A 20,085-nucleotide genomic window follows, 5' to 3' on the forward strand; every position below is an offset into this window, starting at 1 on the left:
GGGATCGGTGGTGATATCCCCTTTATCATTTTTTATTGCATCTATTTGATTCTTCCCTCTTTTCTTTTTTATCAGTCTTGCTAGCAGTCTATCAATTTTGTTGATCCTTTCAAAAAACCAGCTCCTGGATTCATTAATTTTTTGAAGGGTTTTTTGTGTCTCTATTTCCTTCAGTTCTGCTCTGATTTTAGTTATTTCTTGCCTTCTGCTAGCTTTTGAATGTGTTTGCTCTTGCTTTTCTAGTTATTTTAATTGTGATGTTAGGGTGTCATTTTGGATCTTTCCTGCTTTCTCCTGTGGGCATTTAGTGCTATAAATTTCCCTCTACACACTGCTTTGAATGTGTCCCAGAGATTCTGGTATGTTGTGTCTTTGTTCTCGTTGGTTTCAAAGAACATCTTTATTTCTGTCTTCATTTAATTATGTACCCAGTAGTCATTCAGGAGCAGGTTGTTCAGTTTCCATGTAGTTGAGCAGTTTTTAGTGAGATTCTTAATCCTGAGCTCTAGTTTGATTGCACTGTGGTCCGAGAGATAGTTTGTTATAATTTCTGTTCTTTTACATTTACTGAGGAGAGCTTTACTTCCAAGTATGTGGTCAATTTTTGAATAGGTGTGGTGTGGTGCTGAAAAAAATGTATATTCTGTTGATTTTGGGTGGAAAGTTCTGTAGATGTCTATTAGGTCCGCTTGGTGCAGAGCTGAGTTCAATTCCTGGGTATCCTTGTTAACTTTCTGTCTCATTGATTTGTTTAATGTTGACAGTAGAGTGTTAAAGTCTCCCATTATTATTGTGTGGGAGTCTAAGTCTCTTAGTAGCTCTCTCAGGACTTGCTTTATGAATCTGGGTCCTTCTGTATTGGGTGCACATATATTTAGGATAGTTAGCTCTTCTTGTTGAATTGATCCCTTTACCATTATGTAAGGGCCTTCTTTGTCTCTTTTGATCTTTGTTGGTTTAAAGTCTATTTTATCAGAGACTAGGATTGCAACCTATACCTTTTTTTGTTTTCTGTTTCCTTGGTAGATCTTCCTCCATCCTTTTATTTTGAGTCTATGTGTGTCTCTGCACATGAAATGGGTTTCCTGAATACAGCACACTGATGGGTCTTGACTCTTTATCCAATTTGCCAGTCTGTGTCTTTTAATTGGAGCATTTAGTCTATTTACATTTAAAGTTAATATTGTTATGTGTGAATTTGATCCTGTCATTATGATGTTAGCTGGTTATTTTGCTCATTAGTTGATGCAGTTTATTCCTAGCCTCAATGCCCTTTACATTTTGGCATGATTTTGCAGTGGCTGGTACCGGTTGTTCCTTTCCATGTTTAGTGCTTCCTTCAGGAGCTCTTTTAGGGCAGGCCTAGTGGCGACAAAATCTCTCAGCATTTGCTTGTCTGTAAAGGATTTTATTTCTCCTTCACTTATGAAGCTTAGTTTGGCTGGATATGAAATAGTTCCTAATTTCTTTAGTTTTTCCTGGACTGTATGAGAAAAGCAGGGAGTACAGTTAGAGGAGAAAGACAAAGGATTAAATAAAAAACGGATGTAGTTTGGGAATAGACAGAGTGCTTGGCTATTTGGTCAGCTAGCTTATTTCCCTGACTTTCAAAGTAGAGGCTCTTTTGATGTCCTGGGACATGAACAAGACCTGTTTCCTCAGGTAGTTGAAGATTACCTAATACTTGTATTATTAACTATTTATGGATTAGATTTTGACCTTTACTATTAATAAGGCCATGTTCAGGCCAACTTTTTCCAAAGATATGTCCTACTCCAAACACATATTTGGAGTCAGTATAAGTTCTTCCCTCCTGTTTCTGTAACAAATTTAAGGCTTGATTTAAGGCAAATAGCCTACGCATTTATGTGGACCAGTCATTTTGTAGGTTCTAGTTTTGTGAGGGTATGTCCATCCACTACAGAGTATCTGTTATGCTTTTTTCCTTCAATTACCCAGGAGGAATCATCTACAAAAAGATGTTTCCCTGTTTGGAAAAAAGTTTCACATAGGTCGGTCTAACTTAGGTTTGGTAACTAATTAAATCTAAACATTTATGATCTCTTTCTTTTGGGTGTGGATTCTCTGTTACCTCTGGGTTTGGATTTCCTGTTAGGAAAGCAGCAGGATTTAAAGAATTTTCAGTGGTCAGTGTTAGGTCATCTCTTTCTGGCACGATTGCTTAATGTTTTAAAATTCTTGAGTCAGTAAGCCACCTCTCTGCCGTTTGGTTGAGGATTGTTCTAACTTGGTGAGATTTCCCCCAAAAATTAATTTTGTGCTTTCTTCTGTTAGTAAGGCAGTTGTTGCTACAGATTGGACACATTCAGACTAGACACAAGTTACTGGGTCTAGCAGTTTTGACAGAAAGCTTATGGGGGGGCTGGTGGTCCCCATGTTTTTGGGTGGTTACTTCTAAAGCCATTCCCTTGTTTACACTGATGAAAAGATAAAATGGCTGTTCCAGGGAGGGTAGAGTTAGAACAGGGGCAGTAACTAGTAAATGTTTTAATTTTTCTATTTGTTGCATTTCTGGTTGGGTCCAGATAAGGTGTTCTGGCTCCCTCTGGGTGAGTTTTTGGGATAGTGGTTTTGTTTCTAGGGTATAAGAATTGATCCATAGGCAACAGTGTCCAGCTAAGCCTAAAAACTTTCTAAACTACTGTTTTCTTTCTGGGAGAGCTAGGATATAATACCTTCAATTGGTTCATACCCAATCCTGCATTGGCCTTTGCTGATTAAAATTCATAAATACTTTACTTTGGGCTGTACAAACGGAAGTTTGCTTTTTGAGTCTTAACCTTTCTCCGCTTAGAAAATTAAGAAAGTTTGTTGAAAAAGCTGCTACCCATTCTTTCTTTGTTTTCCCCAGAAGTAAGCAGGACATCTATGTACTGGAGTAGACATATGCATGAGGGAAGGGAAAATTATTCTATGACTTGTTTTAAAATTTGACCAAAAAGATTTGGAGAATTTGTGAACCCCTGGGGTAAAACTGTCCAATGGTGCTGTTGCTTTAGATGAGTGGGGGTTTCCCATGCAAAGGCAAACAAGTCTTGGCTGTCCTCTGCTAAATGGCAAACCCAGAAGGCATTTTTCAGGTCTATAATCTGAACCATTCAAGCTCAGGTGGGATAATGATGTAAGATTGGGAACAACAGGATGTGTAGTTTTAACTGTTTGATTAATAGTCCGGAGGTCTTGCACTAGGTGGTATGACCCATCTGGGTTCTTTACAGCTAATATTGGAGTATTATAAGAAGATACACAGGGTTCAAGAAGTCTATCATCAGCAAGGCTTTCAATTATAGGTTTTAAATCTATCCTAGCTTTCAAAGGAAGAGGGTACTGCTTTCTTTTTACTTCTTCCCCAGAAGTTTTTAATTTGACCTTTATTGGGGGAACTCATGATTTTCCTCAATTTCCTCCTTTTGACCAGATACTGGGGTGAATATACTCTTCACCTATGGTAGTGAGTAAGTTTAGGGAGGTAAAAAATTTTTCCTGGTTAATATAGAGACCTAAACCTAAATGTAGCATTAAATCTCTTCCTATTAGGTTAGTTCCTGCCTCTGGTATTAGCAAACATTTTACATTATCCAATCTATTTTTATATGTGACTTCTGTTTCCTCTAAAATGTTGCTTTAAATCCTTCTCTCTTTACTCCTGAAATAAGGAGTTCTTCTTGTGAACAAATTATATTAGATGGAGAATGACAAACAGAGGAGCAAGCTGCAGCTGAGTCAGTTAAAAAGTTAATAAGCTCAGAGTTGTGTCCCACCTCTAGATTTATCAAGGGCTCTTGGTGGGACTCAAGGTAGTAAAGACAGAGCCCCTGAACCCGTATTCTTCCTCAAAAGCTGTAAGTGGGATGACTTCCTTTTCGTCTTCCCATTCAGGGCATTCTATTTTTAAAGTGACCTAATTTTCCACATTTTAAGCATTTATTTGTACTTTTTCTCTCTTTATTTTCTGTTTTTCTGGCTTGCTCTCTTTGACTCCTGTGTTAGGTCTGACAGCCATGTACTGGAAGGCTTATAAGTTCTATTCTCCTGGGCTGTCTGTGGAGGAGTTCCCTGACGTAAGGTAGATAGCATAATTTTTGCCTTTTGTTTTTACTTTTCTTTGTCTCTCCATACATATACCTTTTGGCCCTCCCTTAAAAATTTCTCTATGGGCTGGTGGTCTTCCAATTTTCTATCTTTTGTAATTTCCTGGTAATATCTGGCCAACTATTGGTGAAAAAGTGGAGCTTTAACATTCCCTGCCCAAGGTGGTCTACTAATTTAGGCCAGCATGTTTTTCCATCTGCTCTTTATGTCTCTCTCAAAATTCCATAGACCTTTCATCCTTTCCCTGTTGTATATTAAAGGCTTTGGTAACATCCTTGGTGCAGGGCACTGATTCTCTTATTCCTTTAATTATCATTTTTTGGATATCCCTCATATTCCCTCAATAGGCTATATTTTTGTGACCCAACTGGGGATCTCGGCAGAAACTTTTTGTTCAGCTGCAGGAACGTTTTGACCTGGGGTGTGCTCATGCTCCCAAATGGTCATAGTGGCCCTATGGATCATGCTTCTTTCCTCTCCAAAAAAGAGGATGCCAAAGATTGACATTAACTTGGTCCAACTATACAACTGTGGTCCTAAGAATTGATCAATTTGGTCTGCCATTCCATAGAGACTATTATTCACTTTTTAGGCATTGGACTTCTGAACTGGCTAATAGGGTGTTAAAAAAGCCAATCCCCGCCTCCCACCCGCCCCCGCCCCCCACCCCACCTAGAGACACTTATCTTAAGGGAAAAAAGGTTTGTGGCTGATACTCTGGAGGTAGTGGGCAACCGGAAGTATTAAATATTCTTCTAATGTTGTTCTATCTCACACTGAAGCACTCCTAAGGGAGGGCATTCAGTCTAGGGATGACTCCAAGAGTCAGGGTTATAAGGGGGAGGAACACTGTGAGTAAGGGAAGGGGCAGAACTACGGGCAGCTGCATTTACTTGCAGGGTATGGAGGTTAGAGGCAGTGGTGGTGAGAGCAGGTGCAGATGGAGGAAGGTAGTCTAAAGGGTTGCACGTGCTAGTGCGTGGTTTGGGATTAGGGATTTTAATTTCCTGAGGGGAAGTAATTCCCTGCTTGTCTCCTGTAGTTTTTAGGGGATAGAGAAAAACAGACCCCTCCCACCAACACAGAGCACAGTCTATTTCCTCCTGGGAGACAGAACATTTGTCATTGTCATACTCTATAAAAAGTTAGCAAATCCAGTCCTCACTAGATCCAAATTTTGCACAGAAAACTGAGGGTTTGAGGATAGGTACTTTGGTCCAAATAAAACAATATTTTATCATTTGTTGCTTTTTCTTATATTCGGTTCTCTCATTATCCTTCCAATATTTTAATATGAGACCAAGAACGCTATCTGAGGGGATTTTATTGTCTATCTTTTCCTTTTTATCCCCTAACTTGCTTGAGCTATTTCCATCCTGGAAGTTTTTAGTGTTTCCTTGAGTGTCCCAAGTGTGTGGGCCTTAACCTCTCTTGCTAGAGACTTCTTGCACCCTCAGCTCTAGAGGCTCAACCCAGACTGCTAGAGGTTTCTCACACTCTCTGCTCTGCAGGCTCAAGTTCACCTGCTGGAGGTTCCTTGCACTCTTTTACTTTTACTTCATCTGTCTCTGGCCACTTACCCAGGTGTAGTTTAAACCCCTCTTAGCATTAGCATATCATTATAAACCCCACAATAGGAATCCGCCATAAGCCATTGAGGTGATCACAGAACCAAAGATCAGGACCACACTCACTTGGAGCTCAATTGTGCATCTCACTCACACACTTTCAAGCCCCAAGATGTTCTGACCACCAAGAAATACCTTACCATCCCCATTGTTTTTCTTACCTAGGTCTGTATACAATGTTACTCGGTTGCATGGTATTTGAAGGCATTTTCTTCCCATATTGCTGAGAGTCTCAGTTTATGCATGACGTTTGGTAGGTTCCAATTCCCTACCCTTGAGGCCACCGCCATAAGGCCATGGGACATGCCTCTTCATGAGAGGGGATCAGAGACCCTTCCATGGAGGAGAATGGGAATCCCAGATGAGCCCCAAGATTGTTAGAAACAAGTGCTTGATGCTGCAAAGAAGAACCAGCAGTCAGGCAAAAAGTTTTCTCAGCAAGTCAATTTACTTCTGCAGAAGAGTCCTGTCTGCCTTGGTCACAATTGCAAGAGAACCTCAAACAAAGGAAAGAAGGGACTTTTATCCTTTCCAAGTTCCTGTCCCTCTGTCCTTCTGTTATTGTCTAGCGTTGAACAACACAATCTAAACTAACCTGGTAGGCTAAGACTTAATCTTTTCTAAATAGGGTAAACGTGCAATTTGTAAAAGGAGGGGGTAGAAGTGGTTTGTCCATTGTAGTATAAGGCATGTCCCAAAGTTATGTATATAACTTTAGTATAAGTTATGTCTGGAAATGTCAGGGTGCAACTAAAGCAGCAGTGTAGTTTGCTGGCTGGAAACAAGAGAGTACAAGGAGGTTGGGCTTCTAAACAAAGGAAAAAAATACACAATTAAACCTTTTGAAAAGAAATTTATCATTTCTAACAGTTCTTTTTCAATAATATCTCTCTGTTCGAATTACTCATTCAGATTATGTTTTATTTATTTCTAGTTTAGCCATTATACATTTTATTTATTTTTCTCTTTAGATCTTTAATTCCTTGTTTTGCATTGAGTAAGATCTCTTTTTTTTTTTGTGAGGTGGAGTGTAGTTCTGTCACACAGGCAGGAATGCGGTGGCATGATCTCAGCTCACTGCAACATTCATCTCCTGGGTTCAGACAATTCTTCTTCCTCTGCCATCTGAGTACCTGGGATTACAGGCATGTGCCACCATGCCCAGCTAATTTTGTGTTTTTAGTAGAGATGGGGTTTCTCCATGTTGGTCTGGCTGGTCTAAAATTCCCTACCTCAGGTGATCGGCCCGTCGCAGCCTCTGAAAGTGCTGGGATTACAGGTGTGAGCAACCATGCCTGGCAGATCTCTTCTTTTTTAAGTCTGTTTACTTAAGGACTATTGTGTTCCCCTAAAGGTGTGCAGGTTTTCTTTTTCTATTTTTTCCCCATGGGTCATGGGTTCTTACATTGATGTTTACACAACTGTTGCAGCTTTTCCTTCTGTCAACAATATAGAGAATCTTTCAAAGGAAAATATTTCTTCTGTAGATATTTTTATAATTTTTATTAGGTACAGTTCTTTGGTTTTGGTTACGGGTGGCAATCATAGTCCATATAATTAACTTAGCTGTAATTAGCATTAACTTTGTTTGTACTAATTTTATTTTTATGGCTTAGACTGTTTTGTTTTGTTTTGTTTTGTTTTGTTTTGTTTTGTTTGAGGAGGCTGGGCCAAGATATTGCTGGAACAGGGGCATCAATTGAGTGGACGTGTGTGGAAGGTAGTAATAGTGTTGTTAGGGAACCAGTAGGCCAATCCTTCAGTGTGAGGTGCCATGTGTGAGTCTGGCAGTGATATTGGTAAGCAGAGATAACTGATCCTCATATACCCAGGTGGCTTAATGGGTGATGGTATTAATACCTTGTGTAGACCAATTCTTGGGAGCTTGGATGGAATTTATGGGCCCTAGGAAGTAGGTAGTATGCTTCTTGGGTCAATGGATTTGGCATTCAGTCACCAGTGGTTGATTCTTGAGCATCCCTGTGGGGGATTGGGTCCTGGAGTAGGCTGGTGTAGCAGCCAACAAGTAACACAAATGGGCACTGATATAATGATGGAAAACCAAGTGGCACTTTGAGGACTCATGAGTTTTGTGCAGAGGGTCCAGTAATGTCCACAGTAATCTGGGTGGGTCAGTCTTTAGGTTGTCTATTGTGTTACACTGGTGCTGGTGATATATATGATGGCTGACCTGGGTGGTTTCCTGCTCACTGTCCTTGGATCCTAAGCATGGCAGTAAACATAGCAGGACACACAATTGTTCTCTGAGAAAGAAAGTGAGGCAGGAGGTTGTGTTGTGATCCTACTGCTGAGTGAGAGAAATGTGGTTGTGGTGGCTGTAAACCAGGAAGATTGCTCTTGGGCTCAGGAGGGTGCACACTTTGCTTTTCTGAATCTAGAGCACAGCCTATCTAATTAGCTGGACTACCCACTTCTCAAGGTAATGGGCCTTGGCAGGCTTATAGTCCAGTGACTTGGCCATATCAATGAGTACAGATATTGCCATGACACTCAGACCTCTGGGTGTGTGTTGAAGGATGTCAGCAAGATGTCAGAAATGTTAAACCCCAGGGAAAAATTTAGTCCTTTATTGGTTCTATTTTCTAAATAGTGCCTTAATACAACAGCAGCTTTGGTCTCTAGGGCAAAACTCAGCATATAATTCCTCTCTACAGCAACACAATCAAGTGGACTTTAGCACCCTTCATTCAGCATAACACATACTTATATCAACAAAATATTGTCAAAGATAAAATGTAATTAAGCTGCACTAGAGATCAAATATTTTACTCAATAGCTCTAGAACATGTATATTTTTTACAAGTACATAAGACATTAAAAATAATACACCATATATTGGGCCGCAAAACAACATTCATACATAATTTTAAAAGATTAAAAAACTTTTAATGGCTAACTATAAAATAAATACACTCAACACAATAAAGACCATATAAGGCTAACACAGGGCTATCATCACATTGAATGGCTAAAAGCTGAAAGCCTTTCTTCTGCAACTGGAACTAGGTAAAGAGTGTGAACTTTTACCACTCTTATTAAATATAATAATGAATTACTCTCCAGAAAATTAGGCAAGAGAAAGTAATGAAGACCATCCAAATACGAATAAAAATGTCAAACTGTCCCTCTGTCATTGATATACTCCTCATACTAAAAGAACCTAGCATCTCCTTGAAACCTGCTTAGAAATAATAAACAAATTTAGTAGAGTTTCAAGATCAATAGAAATTAGCAACATGTCTATAGCCATTAATTAATTAAATAAATAGAAGTAAAGAAGAGAATCCTATTTATAACTGCTATAAGAAATAAAATACCTTCTTATTTTACTAAGAAGGTAAAAGATCTCTACAATAAAAATGACAAAACACTGATAAATATATTAAAAATAGCTAAAAATGGACAGACCACAGGGTCATACACTGGAGGAATTACTTCTGTTAAAATGACAATGCCACCTAAATAATATTTATATTTAGTGTAATCAAAAGGAAAATATAATACCAATGGCATGATTCACAAAAATAATCTAAAATTAGTAGGGAACCAATGAAAGACACCAGAGTGAAAGCAAGATGAAACAAAAAATAATGCTAGGAATGTCATACCATGTGATAAGAAAATATCTACAAAGAAATAGTAAACAATAACAGTAAAAGAATTATATCAACATAAAAGCATACAGATAGGCAACAAATACACAATGGGTAAACAGCAGTTCCTTTAATAAACAATAATGAAAAAAGGTCAGAAAAAGACACTCATACATTGATACTGAAAATGAAAATTAATATAGCCATTATGGAGAATAGTGTGAAGTTTCTCACAAAGTGGACAAACATGAAACCTATTATATGATCCAGAAATTCCATTATTCAGAGAGAAAAAAGCAGTATATTGGAGACACCTGCAATTTCATGTTTATTGCAGCTGTACTCATATAGTTGACATATACTGCTAATCTAAATGTATGTATGTATGTATACACACACACATACACACACACACGTGAGAGGGAGAGAGGGAGAGAAAGAGGAAGAGAAAGAGAAAGAGAGGTGAAAATGGAATACTATGCACCCATAAAAACAGTAAAATAGTACAATATGTGGCAATGAGAGTAAGACTGTAGTACCTTAGGTAAAGTAAAATGAATCAAGTGAAAAAATATAAAACATACAAATCACATATGCTTTTGAATACCAAAATTATTTCATATAGGTAGAGAGGATAATTGTATTGGTTTGACACTGGGGTGTTCAGAGAATGGGTAAATCAGGAAAGAGTGGGCAATAGGTACCAGCTTACAACTAGATGGGAGTAGAAAAAAGTTTTGGTGTTCTATAGCAGTGCAGAATAGATATAATAATTTCATGTATATTTTCAAAAATGCAGAAGAGATAATTTTAAATGTTCACAACAAATATAAATTATAAATACTTGAGATGAATGACATTCTAATGGTCTGATTTGATCATTATTCATTCTATATATATATCACTTTATGTCCATAGATACATAGAGTATTACATGACACATAAATTTTATAAGCTTCTGCACAAGAAAACAATTACAACCACAACAGTGAAAGCTTACAACAGAGAAAAGGACCTACAATAGGGTAAAAAAATTTCACGATTTATTTAATAGGGATTAATAGCCAAAATATATGAGAAAAAATGACTTATTGGCAAAAACAAACAAAGGCTGAGGTGGGAGAATAGGCTGAAACTGGGAGGAGATATCACAGTGAGCCAAGATCATGCCACTGCATTCCGTCCTGCACAACACAGTGAGACTCCATATGAAAAGAAAAAAAAAAAGGAAAAAAAATCAGTGTGTTGGAAAAATATCTTTACTCCCATGTTTATTGCAGCAATATTTACTATAATGAAGATATTAAATCAATCTAAGTGCCAATCAACACATTTTTGTTATTTATGACAACATAGATAAATGTTGAGAACATTTTGCAAAGTAAAATAAGTCAGGTACAGAAAGACTTATATCCCTTAGCTCAAGCATATGTAAATTTGAGAAAAGTTTATCTTACAGAAGTAGAGAATAGAATATCAGTTACCAGAGGTTGTAAAGTGTAGAGGGCAGAATTGATGAGAAGAGCTAAATAATACACCTAAGTTTACTCTTAGGAGTTCTGTAATGGACGCTAGAAATTGTCTTCACTGATAACAAGTAACACTGGGGAGAATGTGGTGTGGTTAAGACTTAGACCAACATACTCCAGCACCTTTGCTGCACCCTTGTTTTTCTCCAAGATATATATTGTATCATAGTATGTAAATCCAAAATGGCTGGAATGTAAACAGAGGCCTGACCTACAGAAACATCACTACTTTTCTCAACTTCTTCAAGCAGTGCTATGACCATACTGTAACAGGATACAACAAGACAACTACTGAGGGGATGCCTTGTGGGCATCAGTTGACATGATTTTGGTGGATTTTCCAGTTGTTTCAATTGTTAAAGTTCTTGAGGGATGAATGTTAATCTTAACTGTGCATTTTATCTGGCAGCTTAAGAGTGATGACATGCAACTCAGTCTCTTGCAACACCACCTGAGAAAAGGAAGCACTAGCAGGAAGAACAAATTGATGGAGAGGAAAAGTGATGAATACAGATAAGAAGCACAGCTGGTGGAGGCTCATGTGCCAGTTTACTGGGCCTCAGGACATTCTCCTCTAGAAGGAGGAGACAGCATGACCCCCACTTTCTTTTATTTTATTATAATTTAAGTTTTAGGGTACATGAGCACAATGTGCAGGTTAGTTACATATGTATACATGTGCCATGCTGGTGTGCTACAGCCATTAACTCATCATTTAGCATTAGGTATATCTCCTAATGCTATCCCTCCCCCCTACCCCTACCCCACAACAGCCCCCAGAGTGTGATGTTCCCCTTCCTGTGTCCATGTGTTCTCATTGTTCAATTCACACCTATGAGTGAGAATATGTGGTGTTTGGTTTTTTGTCCTTGTGATAGTTTACTGAGAATGATGATTTCCAATTTCATCCATGTCCCTACAAAGGACATGAACTCATCATTTTTTATGGCTGCATAATATCCCATGGTGTGTATGTGCCCCATTTTCTTAATCCAGTCTATCATTGTTGGGCATTTGGGTTGGTTCCAAGTCTTTGCTATTGTGAATAGTGCCGCAATAAATGTACGTGTGCATATGTCTTTATAGCAGCATGATTTATAGTCCTTTGGGTATATACCCAGTAATGGGATGGCTGGGTCAAATGGTATTTCTAGTTCTAGATCCCTGAGAAATCACCAAACTGACTTCGACAATGGTTGAACTAGTTTACAGTCCCACCAACAGTGTTAGTCCATTTACATTTAAAGTTAATATTATTATGTGTGAATTTGATCCTGTCATTATGATGTTAGCTGGTTATTTTGCTCGTTAGTTGATGCAGTTTCTTCCTAGCTTTGAAGGTCTTTACAATTTGGCATGGTTTTGCAGTGGCTGATACCGGTTTTTCCTTTCCATGTTTAGTGCTTCCTTCAGGAGCTCTTTTAGAGCAGTAATCTCTCAGCATTTGCTTGTCTGTAAAGTATTTTATTTCTCCTTCACTTAAGAAGCTTAGTTTGGCTGGATATGAAATTCTGGATTGAAAATTCTTTTCTTTAAGAATGTTGAATATTGGCCCCCACTCTCTTCTGGCTTGCAGAGTTTCTGCCAAGACATCAGCTGTTAGTCTGATGGGCTTCCCTTTGTGGGTAACCTGACCTTTCTCTCTGGCTGCCCTTAACATTTTTTCCATCATGTCAACTTTGGTGAATCTGACAATTATGTGTCTTGGAGTTGCTCTTCTTCAGGAGTATCTTCATGGCATTCTCTGTATTTCCTGAATCTGAATGTTGGCCTACCTTGCTAGATTGGCGAAGTTCTCCTGCAGAGTGTTTTCCAACTTGGTTCCATTCTCCGCATCACTTTCAGGTACACCAATGAGACGTAGATTTGGTCTTTTCACATAGTCCCATATTTCTTGGAGGCTTTGTTCGTTTCTTTGTATTCTTTTTTCTCTAAACTTCCCTTCTTGCTTCATTTCATTCATTTCATCTTCCATCACTGATACCCTTTCTTCCAGTTGATTGCATCAGCTCCTGAGGCTTCCTCATTCTTCACGTAGTTCTCAAGCCTTGGCTTTCAGCTCCATCAGCTCTTTTAAGCACTTCTCTGTATTGGTTATTCTAGTTATACATTCGTCTAAATTTTTTTCAAAGTTTTCAACTTCTTTGCCTTTGATTTGAATTTCCTCCTGTAGCTCGAAGTAGTTTGATCGTCTGAAGCCTTCTTCTCTCAACTCGTCAAAATCATTCTCCATCCAGCTTTGTTCCATTGCTGGTGAAGAATTGCGTTCCTTTGGAGGAGGAGAGGCGCTCTGCTTTTTAGAGTTTCCAGTTTTTCTGCTGTGTTTTTTCCCCATCTTCGTGGGTTTAACTACTTTTGGTCTTTGATGATGGTGATGTACAGATGGGTTTTTGGTGTGGATGTCCTTTCTGTTTGTTAGTTTTCCTTCTAACAGACAGGACCCTCAGCTGCAGGTCTGTTGGAGTTTTCTAGAGGACCACTCCAGATCCCGTTTGCCTGGGTATCAGCAGCGGTGGCTGCAGAACAGCAGATTTTCATGAACCACGAATGCTGCTGTCTGATGGCTCCTCTGGAAGTTTTGTCTCAGAGGAGTACCTGGCCATGTGAGGTGTCAGTCTGCCCCTACTGGGGGGGTGCCCCCCAGTTAGGCTGCTCGGGACCCCCAATTTGTTTGTGTATCTCAGGGTGAGTTTGTGCCATTTTCTGTTAGCCTTATTGGTCTCTGTGTCTGTGGTGCACTTCATTCATCAGCGTCTGTGTTTGTTTGCATTTTTTACTTGTCTCTCCATCTATTTCTCTGATTTTGTTACATTTTACATTTTAAGTTTCATTATATTTTCCATTCACATATTATACATGCACAACTATATGGCAGACCATGTTATTTTAAAACATGCATACAATATACCAAATAATGGTATTTATTCATCTCCTCTAATGTTCCTCGTGATTAGAACCCTAGGAATTCTCTCTTCTATTTAGAAATATATAATGCATTGTTATTAAAAATAGTGACCCTGCTGTGCAATGGAATACCATTGCTTCTTTTTTTTCAATTTAACTACTTTTTTTGTATTTATTTACCAACTTCTTCCTATCCCTACATTTCTAATTCTTTCTAGACCCCCATAACCACTATTCTTCCCTATAATTCTATGAGAAAATTTTTTAGATTCCACATATAGGTCAGATAATGTGTTATTTTTATTCCTACACCTAGGTTATTTTGCTTAGTTACATGTAAAGGAATATACATGGTATGTGGCATGGCAAATGATAAAAGTTCATTTTTAATAGATATATACTATTTCATTGTGTGTGTGTGTACATATACCACATTTTAAATTCATTTGTCTGTTTATGAACATCCAGGTTTAATATTGTATTGTTCATGGTGAATAGTGCTGTAATAAACAAAAAAGAGCAAATATTTATTTGACATGCTAATTTTCTTTCCCTTGCCTACATACTCAGTGGTGCAGATTGTTCAGTCATGTGGAAACTTTCATGTAAATTTTTTAGAGATCTACAGAATGTCTTCCATACTGATTCTACTAATTTACATTCCATCCAAGAGGATGTTTTGTGCAGTTCCCCACTTTTCTTTTCTCCACATCCCTGGCAATACTTGTTATTCTTTTGCAATTTTTAGTTATATCCATTATTATTCTAATAGATTCACTGAGCTGAAAGGACTTGTCATATTTTCTTATGGGTTTTCCTGGCATTTCTCCAATAAAAATTATGTTGAACTTTTATTTAGAAATGTGTTGGAAGTATCTGTGTCATTTTTGGAGAAATGTCTATTTACATCTTTTGAACATTTTTAATTAGAAAATTTTTGGCTATTGTTTCTTATTTGTTCTGGATACTAAGTTTTTTTCTTTTTTTTCCTTTTGTTTTGGAGATGGAGTCTTACTCTGTCACCCAGGCTGGAGTGCAGTGATGCAACCTTGGCTCACGGCAACCTCTGCTTCCCAGATCAAACGATTCTCCTACCTCAGCCTCCTGAGTAGCTGGGATTACAGGTGTGTGCCACCACACCCACATAATTTTTGTATTTTTAGTAGAGATGGGGTTTCACCAGGCTGGGCTGAAACTTCTGAATTCATGATCTGCCTGCCTATTTTTCATGTGAATTTTGTACTCTACATATTTACTGAATTTGTTTATTAGTTCTAATAGTTTTTTAAATGGATTATTTATGGTTTTCTATGTAAGATGAAGTTATCTGCATACAAGGGATGTGTAGCTTCTTCCCTTCTATCCAGATATCCCTAGTATTTTCTCTCATTTACATAACTGCTGTGGCTCAGACTTCTAGTATTATGTTGAATAGATGTAATGAAAATGCCCTCTCTTGACTTCTTTCAGACCTTAGCAAAAGCTTGCAACTTTTTCCCATTCAGTATGATGTTAGCTGTAAATTTGTCATATATAATTTTCACTGTGTTCAGATGAATTTTTTAAACATAACTCTTGACAGTTTTTATCATGAAGCAATGTTAAATTTTCCCAAATGCTTTTTCATTGATGGGGTTCAATTAGGTTGATAGGGAAAATATTAAAGATAGTTATAGTAATAGTCAAAAACTGTCTTCAAAGGCCTGAGAGTTTGCATACCTTCAGAATGCTCAGCTGAAGGCAGCCAGGGTCTCTTTGCAAGAGCCAGAAAGATTAGGGTGCAGTACCAATGAATGTGGAAAGCTTATTTTACTAACCTGTTTAGTTATATGGGCTTATGACTAACCTTTGTCCTACCTCAAGTACTTTACTGCCTCCAACTCAGGGGGTCGGCAGAAGTTTATTACCCACAAATGGTGTTTGCTTTAGGCCTCAGAACCTAGCTTTTAATCTTTATCTTCTAGCGGTGTTTACTCACAATTTTTGTTAATTCGCCTTACTGAATAAATGTGACCTTTACCTGCAGATCAGGGCCGAGTCACAACCGTTTACAGAACGCAGCTTGGAGCCTGTAAGTGGCTTGGGCCTTCAGCTAGACTGGCAGAGCAGAATATCTGTGTGTCAGTGTACGTTTATTCTTCTGTTGCCAAATCAGAGGTCTGCAGGAACAGACTCCCTGCATCTAGTGTCTCTGCAAAAGGAGCACTGCCTCAAATGGGGACCTGCGTGAGGACCTGTGTCAGGGGTCTGCAAAAACAAACCCCCACACTTGGAGCCCCACTTGCACTTGTGGCAAGCTGCAAAAGAAGTGTGGGGACTGTTCTCATGAGGAAAGCTGTGAAGGAAGCATGAAGTAAATGCAATAGATCCCTTAAAAACAAAGGTGAAAAAAGGAACCATGTGGTCAAGCAAGTGAGTAATTAATCAGTAAGTCATTGTTGCTCACTCAAGGTTACCAAGTTCTTGGGGAAGTTGAGTCAAGCTGAGATTTCATCATGGGACACAGTTACCAGCTCAACAGAAACAATATATAAAAGTGTTGAAATAGTTGCTTAAGGCTACCATAACATCAGTTTTGCAGACTCATTAAGGGACATAATGCAAACTGTTGTGATCCCAAGCCCATGGTTCCCAGAAGAAGGAATGCTAAATGTAGAACTGTGGGAACAAGTGAGAAGTCTTAAACAACAACAGGTGCAAAGGCAGCAGGCCCCAGTGTGTCTGGAATTTATTCCTTCTTGTGGGTTCTTGATCTCACTGACTTCAAGAATAAAGCCACGGACCTCGTGGTGAGTGTTACAGCTCTTAAATGTGGCCTATCCAGAGTTTGTTCCTTCTAGTGGGTTTGTGGTCTCAATGACTTCAGGAATGAAGTTGCAGACCCTCATGGTGAGTGTTAACAGCTGCTAAAGTTGGCATGTCTGGAATTTTTGTTCCTCCTGGTGTGTTCATTGTCTTGCTGACCTCAGGAATGAAGCCGCAGACCGTCGCAGTGAATGTTACAGCTCATAAAGGTAATGCAGACTCAAAGAGTGAGCAGCAGCAAGATGTATTGTGAAGAGTGAAAGAACAAAGCTTCCACAGCGTGAAAGGGGGCAAAGTGGGTTGCTGCTGCTGGCTGGGGTGGCCAGCTTTTATTCCATTATTTTTCCCTGCCGATGTCCTACTGATTGGTCTATTTAACAGAGGGCTGAATGCTGAGTTTGCTCTCCTTTAGCTAAACACAAAGTGCTGATTGGTGCATTTTTATAGAGTGCTGATTGCTGTGTTTACAATCCTCTAACTGGACAGAAAATTCTCCAAGTCCCCACTTGACCCAGGAAGTCCAGCTGACTTCACTTCTCAATGCCCTGTCTAAACAGGAAACCCCAGCTGCTGTTGGGAATTGGGTGGTGACCACTCTAGATAGGATAGGGGCAAGAAGGGGCCCTGCAGTTGTAGTGTCGTCCAGAGGGGAACTCTTTAGTCCAATCAAAGGGCCAGTGAGTAGGTCCAAGGGTCCTTGGTAGAAGTTGTTACTTGAGCTCATTTGGAGTTCCATTTGTAAGATCATCATATCTTGATGTCCTCGATCCTAGAGGAAATAAATGTGACAACAAGGTTAAAAATACAGCATCCAAAGGCAAGTAATAGCAAGATGGCTGTCATGGTTACATAGAAAGGGGAGAAGCCATGTCACCCAGCTCCAGAGGTTGGTATAAGAGTTTGAAAGGTGTTGTCTGATTTCAGAAGACATTTCCTTTAAATGTCAGGTGGCATCTCATACTATCCCTGACTGGTTAGTGTAAAAACAACACTCTTCCCCTAAGAAGGTACAGAGTCCTCCTTTCTCAGCAGTGAGGAGGTCTGGGCAGGAGTTTTGGAGAGTCACTGCTGCCAAAGAGTCTATTTGGGATTGTAGATTAAGGAGAGATTCTGTTATTTCTTGTAAACTCTCTGAGAAATCCTTTGAGAGTGTGTGGTTGTAGGACAATGAAGTAGATATACCAGCTATTCCAGTTCCTGTAGCAGTGGCCATTTCTAACCCTATAAGTAGGGGTATTAGTTGTATGGCCCTGCACTGATGGACTTGAGCTTTGAGGGGCACTGATAGGATCAGATTCCATGAGATTAAAAGTTAGGATAATACATGTTACACTGGTAACTTATAGCAAACTTTACTTTTGTTGAACATCTTGTAAGTTTGGGATTTTAATTTTTATTTGCTATTAATATGACTCGTTCAGTCCATATTAACTTAGAATTTGTATAGATGGCTCCTTCCTGATTCTGTAAGTACTTTAAGGTTTGGCTGAGTACAAACAACTTGTATGTTTGAGCAGACCAATTGTTAGGCAATTTTCCTAACTCTACTTCTACAAGAGTTTCCTTATAGTTTACTGAATACCCATTGTGTCTTTTTTCCTTAATCACTCAGGAGAAACTACCTATCATCTTGTCCTAAAGGGAGTTCTTCCTAGGTCTAGTCAGACCTTTGTATGGTAATTAATTAAGATTTAGATCCCCTGTTAAGAAACCTGCTGGGTTAAGGATTTTTGATAGGAAGGCTATGGGTTGTCAGTGGCCTCAGTGCTTTTGGGCTACGCCCTTGTTTACACAGACAACAAGGTGGTGTTGGACTATTATAGGGTCACTAAGAAGACCTTCAATTATGAATTATAGGTTTTAAATATACCCTGGCTTTTAAAGGAATAGTGTACACTGTTGTTTTCTTTATTACTTCTATCTCTCTCTTTTTCTGTCTTTGATTCCTTCTTTGTCTCTTTCTGACTCCCTCTTTGTTCTCTTCCTCTCTCTCTTTGTCTCTCTCTTTCTTTCTCTCTCTCTTTCTGTCTTTATTTATCTTCCTCTCTCTGTCTCTGTCTTTGACTCCTCCTTTTTCTCTGTCTCTTCCTCTGTCTGTCTCTCTCTCTTTTCTCTTTCTCTCTTTCCTTTCTGCTGGTTTTTCTCTGTTGCTGCCAGACACTTATGCTGCTGTTCTCCCCTCTCCTTCCCCTTTTGATGGCTTTGGCAGTGTAAGACTGCCACCTCCTTGGGTTTTTGCCCTGTGTGCAATAACTCCATGGTTTCCTTTTGATATTTAGTGGGGGTTCCCCCAGAGGTTAGGAACTCCCTTTCTTTCCATATTGCAGCATGGGCATGTAAGATTAGATAAGCATACTTACTATCTCTAGCAAAGTCTCCCAATTACAACTGAGGAGGGGGAAGAAATACCTTGTTACAGGCCATCCCAGGATTCCTCAGATAGTAACAGACCTTGAGGACAGCTGTCCGGGACAGGAAATTAATACTGAGAAAGCTGCACCAGTGTCCATGAGGAAGTCAATTTCCTGGCTCTCAATGGTTAAAATTCCCCAGGGCTCAGTGAAAGTGATGAAATGAGCTGGTGCTTGCTCCAGGCACCCTCAGTCCTGTTGTTGGATCATCTGGTTGGGGGCTCCTGGCCCAGAGAACCTTTGTCCTCTAGGGCAGTGCACCTTCCAGTGATTGCCTTGGCATAGTGGACATGGCTGAGGGGGCTGCTTGTTTCTTGTTGGAAACCTTTTTTAAGGTGTCCTTGCAAACCACACTGGTAACAAGCACTACCAGGTGATTGGCCTGCTCCATTTTCTGTCCTCTCTGAACCACCAAAGTTTGTCTGAGGGCCATGACTAAGGCTGCGGACTTTCTGTAAACTTGCTTTTCCTTTTTGGCCTTTTCCTCTTGGTCCCTATTATAAAACACCAAGGTTGCCAGGTTTAATAATGCCTCCAGATTTTGTTGAGGGCCCAGGGGTCACTTTTGGAGCTTTCTTCTCATATCTGCAGCTGATTGGGTAATAAACTCATCTTTTAGCATCAATTGACAATTGAGTGAGTCGGGTGACAGGGCAGTATATTTTCTTAAGGCCTCCATAGCCACACAAGGAAGACAGAAGGATTTTCTTCCTTTCCCTGAATTATGGTGGACATCATTGAATAATTCATGGGGTTTTTCCTCATTCTCCTTAGTCTTTCTAGAACACATGTCAGCAGATGTTTACAACTCCAGTCCCTATGATCTGAGTCAAGGTCTCAGTGGTGATTCATACTGGGATGGCTTGCTGACCAGTAGGGAATTTGTCCCTTTCTTTGGCTGTCATTCTATCATTTATTTGACAAAGATACCAGATATCTCCAAACTCTTGGACTGCAGCTAAAGCTGCATTCTTTTAATTAAAGGCCAGTGTTTGATCTAACAATAGCATGACAACTCTTTTAGTGAGGTCAAAGGTTTGGCCTAGATCCTATAGGATATCTATGTACCTATGAGAATCAT

At 39.2% G+C, this 20,085-nt stretch overlaps 1 long non-coding RNA gene across 7 annotated transcripts in view; it reads left to right on the forward strand.

The window, feature by feature from the left end:
* The window catches only part of LOC105377225 (uncharacterized), a 34,342-nt gene extending 20,030 nt beyond the window's left edge, over positions 1-14,312 (forward strand). For 6 of the 7 annotated variants that reach the window (XR_938635.3, XR_938636.3, XR_938637.4 and 3 more), the window contains one exon: positions 11,294-11,557. This is a non-coding gene — a long non-coding RNA (uncharacterized LOC105377225). Of the gene's footprint in view, positions 1-11,293 lie in introns of all 7 variants that reach the window. The other variant, XR_007068465.1, reaches the window with a different exon arrangement.
* The last annotated feature ends 5,773 nt before the right edge of the window (positions 14,313-20,085 follow it).

Source organism: Homo sapiens, chromosome Y (assembly GCF_000001405.40).
Source record: "Homo sapiens chromosome Y, GRCh38.p14 Primary Assembly".
In the NCBI taxonomy this organism is placed as follows: domain Eukaryota; kingdom Metazoa; phylum Chordata; class Mammalia; order Primates; family Hominidae; genus Homo; species Homo sapiens.